Raw genomic sequence first — 8,282 nt, 5'->3', positions numbered from 1 at the left:
GAGGTGAGAGAACTGCTTGAGCCCAGGAGGTTGAGATCAGCCTGGACAACACAGCAAGATCTCTCTTTTTTTTGAGACAGAGTCTCGCTCTGTTGTCTAGGCTGGAGTGCAGTGGTGTGATCTCGGCTCACTGCAACCTCCGCTTCCTGGGTTCAATTCTTGTGCCTCAGCCTCCCAAGCAGCTGGGACTACAGGCACAAGCCAGCACACCTGGCTAATTTTTGTATTTTTTGTAGAGACAGGGTTTCACCATTTTGGCCAGGCTGGTCTCGAACTCCTGACCTCATGATCCACCCGCCTTTTGGCCTCCCAATGTGCTGGGATTACAAGCGTGAGCCACTGTGCCCGGCCAGCACAGCAAGATTTTACCTCTGCCAAAAACAAGAAAAAGAAATTAACCAAGCTCACAGTCAGTGTGCCTGTAGTCCCAGCTACTCAGGAGGCTGAGGTGGGAGGATCCCTTGAGCCCAGGAGTTCGAGGTTGCAGTGAGCTATAATCACACCACTGCAATCCAGCCTAGATGACAGAGCAAGTCCCTCTCTGGAAAAACAAGAAAAAGAGAAAGGGGTTTGGGATTTGACAGAAAATAAATTACGGGGAAGTGACTAGGAAATAAAGGGGAGGCCAGTGAAAGATAACGGCCATTCTAGTAAGGTATTTCTCTTTATGCAAATTTACCTCAGTGTTGACTCTTCTTCTCCAGTGGAGAGAGTAGCTCTTTGGGGAGGGGCGGGGAAAGCACCATCACACAGAGAAATTTATGCCCTGCTTTTAGGCAGATAAGGGAAGGGCGGAGAACTCTTCCTCCATCTGTTGATTCTCAAGTGCCTTCAACTCAGAATAATCCTTATGCCGAGGCAGTATATTTGGGGGTGACGTATCTTAAGCCCCTTTATTCCCATCATCACTTGTTTGAGAATTGGCCTGCTGGGACATGAATACTATTTTCCCCACTCCCTCTGTGACTTTGGTAAAGTTACTTAACATCTCGTATGCCTCAGAACCCCCGTTTGCAAAAACAGAGGTAAAAATAGCACCTATCGGCCGGGCACGTTGGCTCACGTCTGTAATCCCAACACTTTGGGAAACCAAGGCGGGTGGACGACAAGGTCAGGAATTGGATACCAGCCTGGCCAACATGCTGAAACCCCGTCTCTACTAAAAATACAAAAATTAGCCAGGTATGGTGGTGCGTGCTCATAGTCCCAGCTACTCAGGAGGCTGAGGCAGGAGAATTGCTTGAACCCGGGATGTGGAGGTTGCAGTGAGCCAAGACCGCACCATCGCACTCCAGCCTGGGAAACAGAGTGAAACTCTGTCTCAAAAAAAAAAAAAATTATATACTCAGCCAGTGTGGTGGCTCATGCCTGTAATCCCAGCACTTTGGGAGATTGAGATGGGTGGATCACCTGAGGTCAGGAGTTCAAGACCAGCCTGACTAACATAGTGAAACCCTGTCTCTAGTAAAAATACAAAAATTAACAGGGCTTGGTGGCGGGCCCCTGTAGTCCCAGCTACTCGGGAGGCTGAGGCAGGAGAATCCCTTGAACCTGGGAGGCAGAGGTTGCAGTGAGCCAAGGTCGTGCCATTGTACTCCAGCCTGAGCAACAAGAGTGAAACTCTGTATCAAAAAGAAAAATAAATAAAAAAATCATATACTCAAAGGGAATGAAATCAGCATCTCAAAGAGATATCTGCACTCCCACGTTCATGGCAGCATTATTTACATAGCCGAAATATGGAAACTTGTGTCCATTGACAGATTAGTTTTAAAAATGTGGGGTGTATATGTATACGTGTATAGACTTTTTCTTTATATGTACACAGTGGAATATTAGCCTTAAAAAGAAGGAGATCCTGCCATGCGTAACATGAATGAACCTAGATAGAAGACATTATGCTAAGTTAAATAAGCCAGACACAGAAATAAAAATACGGCATGATTTGGCCAGGCGTGGCGGCTCACGCCTTTAACCCCAGCACTTTGGGAGGCTGAGGGGGGTGGATCATGAGGTCAGGAGATCGAGACCATCCTGGCCAACATGGTGAAACCCTGTCTCTGCTAAAAATACAAAAATTAGCAAGGTGTGGTGGCACGTGTCTGTAATCCCAGCTACTCGGGAGGCTGAGGCAGGAGAATCACTTGAATCAGGGAGTCAGAGGTTGCAGTGAGCCAAGATCACACCACTCCAGCCTGGCGATAGAGCGAGACTCCGTCTCAATAAATAAATAAATTAATTAAATTAAATACTGCACGATTTCTTTTATACGTGGCATGTGAAAGAAGTTTAATACATAGAAAAAGAATAGAATGAATGGTGGTTACCAGTATAATGGCAGGGTTGGGATTTGGGGGAAGAATGGGGAGCTGTAGATCAAGGGGTACAAAGTTGCAGTTATGTTGGATGGATGTCTAGGAATCTAGTACACAGCATAAGGACTATTGTTAATATTGCATTATATACTGGAAATTTGCTAAGAGAGTAAATTACTGTAGTAATCATTTAAAGTATGCATATGCATAGACAGGCATCATATTGTGTACCTTAAATACGTACAATATAGCTCAAATCCATGATTCCAGCCACAAGGCCTGGCATGGCCTATTCCATTCACTCCTCTAGCATCACCTTACACCACTGTCTCCTTTGATCAGTATCTGTGGCTTGTTCTTCCTCTTCTCTTCTTTTTCCCAGCCCCAGGCTTTCTTGTACTCCTTATCACCACTGTAGGTCAATTTTAATTTGTGAGCTGTTTGTTTGACCTTTGTTTCTTCTACCAGATAAACAAGTGTGTGTGCTGAATATTCAGCAATCCTGAACACCCAGCATCTGGCACAGCTCGTAGCACCTGTAGGCACTTGGAAAACACATGCAGAATGAATGAAAGAATATGAGTGACCAAAGAAGTCATTGGAGAATTTCCCATACTGCAGGCTTGTTGAAGTTGCTTACTTGGTACTTTACTGAGAAGGCATTGGCAAGCTGGCTTTACTAATAGTTCCTACCACTCACTGTGCCCGCTATCTCTCAACAAGCATTGATTAAACACCTACTGTGGTCAGTCCCCTGAGCTTGGCATCGTCAGAGGCATGTAAACCAGAGCAACTCCAACTTGAATGAGGCTGGGTAAAATGAGGCTGAGACCTACTGGGCTGTATTCCCAGACAGTGAAGGCATTCTAAGTCACAGGATGAGATAGGAGGTTAGCACAAGATACAGCTCATAAAGACATTGCTGATAAAACAGTTTGCAGTAAAGAAGCCAGCCAAAACCCACCAAAACCAAGATGGCCACAAAAGTGACCTCTGGTCATCCTCACTGCTACACTCCCACCAGCACCATGACAGTTCATAAATGCCATGGCAACGTCAGGAAGTTGCCCTATATTGTCTAAATAGGGGAGGCATGAATAATTCACCCCTTGTTTAGCATATCATTAAGAAATAACCATAAAAATGGGCAACCAGCAGCCCTCGGGGCTGCTCTGTCTAGGGAGTAGCCATTTTCTTATTCCTTTACTTTCCTAATAAACTTGCTTTCACTTTTCTATATGGACTCACCCTGAATTCTTTCTTGCACAAGATCCAAGAACGCTCACTTGGGGGTCTGGATCAGGACCCCTTTCCTGTAACAGTGCTAGCCATAGCAATGGACACAATGGCCAGAAAGCTCTCACCTCATGAAGCACCAGGCATTTATAATCTAATTACTTTGTTGTTACTTTGCATTTTGATAGAATTTCCAACTCAGAGGTGAACTGCAAGGTTGGTACAAGGAACTTCCCCATGCCCTTCCCTAAGATTCACAAATGAATTTTATTTTGCTCCATTTTGAGAGAAAATTTTCCTTCTAATGTTAAACTTGAATGCACGAGTTTAGAGAAATTTTGGTAAAGAAAACTTTGGGGGGTTTAAATGAGTTAGCAATATTTAGTACTGTGGCCAGTTGCTGTGGAATGTTTTATTCATACAATTCCTTTTCTTCCTAATTATGAGTCACTGAGCTGACCATATTGCCTATAAAATGGGGTGACTGCACCCTCAGCATGGTGCTAGGGGAATGAATTAATGATAGTGAAGTGTATTTTAATAATATTTGGTGAAAGACATCATGCACAAATGAACTATGCTTACTCCCTTTTCCCTTCTCCTACAGCTCACAGCTGTGACCAATTTTATTTTCATTACTAGGATTAGCGTACATTTTCCTTGCCTGGTTTCCACTTCCCTCATGGTGGGATCTTACCCTCACTCTCCCCTCCACCCCCAGCCCCAGCTTCCAACAGTCACATGTGCAAGTGTCCAGCTGCCTTTGCAATTGCATCATTTGTGAGCTCCCGTTGCCATGGCAGCATGAGGGGTTTGGTGGCTGTTTTCCTCCATGAAGGTGGCTGCATTCCTCATCTCAGCAGTTCAGCATTCTGAACTGACCGACAATTTGATGCCCTGTGGTTAATATTCGTGTCCTATCGGAACTCTTTTAATTTGCCTAGCTACTTTTCCCCCCAACATTTGTCTCATTCAGGAGAGCCATGTTGCACAATGCAAGGGGCACAATGTCCAGAAAGCCCTCACCTCATGCAGCACCAGACATGTATAATCTAATTCTTTTGTCTCATTTAGGAGAGACAATATGAGGTTTCTATTCGCTTTTTTTTTTCTTTTCTTTTCTTTTTTGAGATGGAGTCTCGCTCTGTCGCCTAGGCTGCAGTGCAGGGGCACCATCTCGGCTCATTGCAACCTCTGTTTCCCAGGTTCAAGTGATTCTCCTGCCTCAGCCTCCCGAGTAGCTGGGACTACAGGCGCCCGCCACCATGCCCAGCTAATTTTTGCATTTTTAGTAGAGACGGGGTTTCACCATGTTGGCCAGGCTGGTCTCGAACTCCTGGCCTCAAGTGATCTGCCCACCTTGGCCTCCCAAAGTGCTGGGATTACAGGCGTGACCCACCACGCCCAACCCAGGAGTTTCTAATCTCACTGTGGTCAGTGGAAGGGGAGCCTCCAGACTTGTGCAGTCCTCTTTCTTGTATGCTGCACACTGCTGCCCTCTCAAACCCGACGCCCATCCCCAGACTGATGGAGGTCTTGTCAGACAATTCAGAATCACTCATTTAGGTTTTTTTAAATGTTAGGCTTTATGATGTGTATTGGACAATACACAGGGAATCTCTAAACTTTAAGATGCTGAGTTAAATGATCTACATTTGCACAAGTATCCAGGTAACTACATTCTACTTCAAGAAAGCTTCTTGGTGAGAGACAAAAAAGCATTTGCAATTGGTCATTTCATTCATTTTCCTAAGAATAGTGTAGCTTTAAGTGTGTTATTGCAGCTGGGCATGGTGGCTCACACCTGTAATTGCAGTGCTTTGGGAAGCCAAGGTAGGAGGACCACTTGCACCCAGGAGTTGAGGCTAGCCTGGGCAACATGGCAAGACCCTATCTCTACAAAAATATAATAAATTAGCCAGACGTGGCGGTGTGCACCTGTAATCCCAGCTAATCGGAAGGCTGATGCAGGAGGATCGCTTTAGCCCAGGAGTTTGATGCTGCAGTGAGCTATGATCGTCCCATTGCATCCAGCCTGGGTGACAGAGTGAGGCCCTGTCTCTAAAGAAGAAACAAAACTACACGTGTTAATACTCTCCTGCCAAAGGCCACCAGCAATGCACCTATAGTTGAATAAGTTGGGTTTATTACCCATTACAGTGAGGGAGAATACACAGAAGGGTCTATAGGAAATGGGTGATAGAAAGATGGAAGAGGGTTTGGGTCTGTATTAGGTAATTTTGGGAGGGTTTGGAGAAATGGTTTTGCTCTGGATTGGATGCTGTCAGGAAGCAGGGGTAATTAGATACATTAATAATTCTTATCTATAAGAGAAGAATAAAGGGAGGTAAAGGCTTCAATTGAAAAGAAGCAGCAGGCCGGGAGCAGTGGTTCATGCCTGTAATCCCAGCACTTTGGGAGGCCAAGGCGGGTGGATCACCTGAGGTCAGGAGTTCAAGACCAGCCTGGCCAACATGGAAAAACTCTGTCTCTACTAAAAAATACAAAAATTAGCTGGGCGTGGTGGCGTATGCCTGTAGTTCCAGCTACTCGACAGGCTGAGGCAGGGGAATTGCTTGAACCCAGGAGGCGGAGGTTACAATGAGCCAAGATCGCACCACTGCACTCCAGCCTGGGCAACAAGAGCGAGACTCCCTCTCAAAAAAGAGAAAGAAAGAAAAAGGGCAGGGCGCAGTGGCTCACGCCTGTAATCCCAGCACTTTGGGAGGCCGAGGCGGGTGGATCATGAGGTCAGGAGATCGAGACCATCCTGGCTAACACAGTGAAACCCCGTCTCTACTAAAAATACAAACACAAAATTAGCCGGGCGTGGTGGCAGGCACCTGTAGTCCTAGCTACTCGGGAGGCTGAGGCGGGAGAATGGCGTGAACCCGGGAGGTGGAGCTTGCAGTGAGCTGAGATCGTGCCACTGCACTCCAGCCTGGGCGACAGAGGGAGACTCCGTCTCAAAAAAAAAAAAAGAAAAAAGAAAAAGAAAAGAAGCAGCAGTCACTCATTCTAGCCAGGATGGGGGCTGTCTGGTCATTTTTGTGGCTTGGACAATGTCCACGTATCTGTCTGTGTTGAGACATGATTATGGAGTGGTATTGTTTCTGTCTTGACTTGGTGTTAGGGTTTGGATATGGTTCATTTGGCCCTGCCAAGTCTCATGTTGAAATCTGATCCTCTGTGTTGGAGATGGGGCCTGGTGGAAACTCCTGAGGTCAGGAGTTTGAGACCAACCAGCCTGACCAAGGTGAAACCTCGTCTCTACTAAAAATACAAAAATTAGCCGGCCATGGTGGTATGTGCCTGTAATCTCAGCTACTCCGGAGGTTAAGACAGGAGAATTACTTGAACCTGGGAGGCAGAAGTTGCAGTGAGCCGAGATTGCACCACTGCACCAGCCTGGGCTATGGAGCGAGACTATCTCAAAAAAAAAAAAAAAAAAGTAATGTCATCTATTACTTTTTATTTATATTCCAGTTTAATCTAAAGATTATATATATACACACACACCCTTCCCTCCTCCAACGCAATTCCCATCCTCCTAGGGCATAGCTTCCATTTATGTGTAATGGAGTTAGCTGAGCTGCAATACTCAGAATAATGCTATGCATGGTTAAAAGCCTGGAATTCATTCCTCAGACAGGGGGATTTGCATCCCTATGCAAAGGATAGGGATCTTTGCATCTTTTGGACCTCATCAGAGATTGCCTCATGGAAAGAGGGTCTTCAATGAATGTTTATTGCATTTGTGGCCATGGGTGTTGAAGGTGATGGGGCAGTGAGGGGCAGAGGGTGGTGATCTTTATTTTATTTTATTTTATTTTATTTTATTTTATTTTATTTTATTTTATTTTTTTTGAGATGGAGTCTCGCTCTGTCGCCCAGGCTGGAGTGCAGTGGCGCAATCTCAGCTCATTGCAACCTCCGCCTCCCGGGTTCAAGTGATTCTCTTGCCTCAGCCTCCCAAGTAGCTGGGACTACAGGCATGCGCCACCATGCCCAGCTAGTTTTTTTATTTTTAGTAGAGACAGGGTTTCACCATGCTGGCCAGGCTGGTCTCGAACTCCTGACCTTGTGATCCGCCTGCCTCAGCCTCCCAAAGTGCTGGGATTACAGGCGTGAGCCATCGTAGCAGCCTGGTGATCTTTAGAAAGACGTATGTTTACTCCTCTAAGACTAGATGAGAGAAATTCCTCTCTACCAATCTCTACATGCTTCTAGCCAACTACCCACATAGCAGCTTCACTGCTGAATTTCACAGACCGTTCACACTGGGTCCACAATGGCACTCTGGGCGTCTTCCTGAGCATCATCTCCAGTCTTCTTCTTCTGCCAGTATTTCCCCATCATAAATGACACCGGTGAACGACAAGACAGTGGATGAAGTCAGAAATTTAGGGCCAGGGGTGGTGGCTTACGCCTGTAATCCCAGCACTTTGGGAGGCCAAGGTGGGTGGATCATTTGAGGTCAGGAGTTTGAGACCAGCCTGGCCAACATGAGACTCCATCTCTACTAAAAATATAAAAATTAGCCAGGTGTGGTGGCTCATGCCTGTAGTCCCAGCTACTCGGAAGGTTGAGGCAGGAGAATGGCATGAACCCGGGAGGTGGAGATCATGCCACTGCACTCCAGCCTGGGTGACAGAGCAAGACTCCTTCTCAAAAAAAAAAAAAAAAGAGAGCAAAGTCGATAGTTATTTGACAGAGTAGTTTTGTCTCTCG

Source organism: Homo sapiens, chromosome 1 (genome assembly GCF_000001405.40).
Source record: "Homo sapiens chromosome 1, GRCh38.p14 Primary Assembly".
In the NCBI taxonomy this organism is placed as follows: domain Eukaryota; kingdom Metazoa; phylum Chordata; class Mammalia; order Primates; family Hominidae; genus Homo; species Homo sapiens.
The sequence above is the reverse complement of the archived record's forward strand: the minus strand, read 5'-3'. Positions refer to the sequence as shown.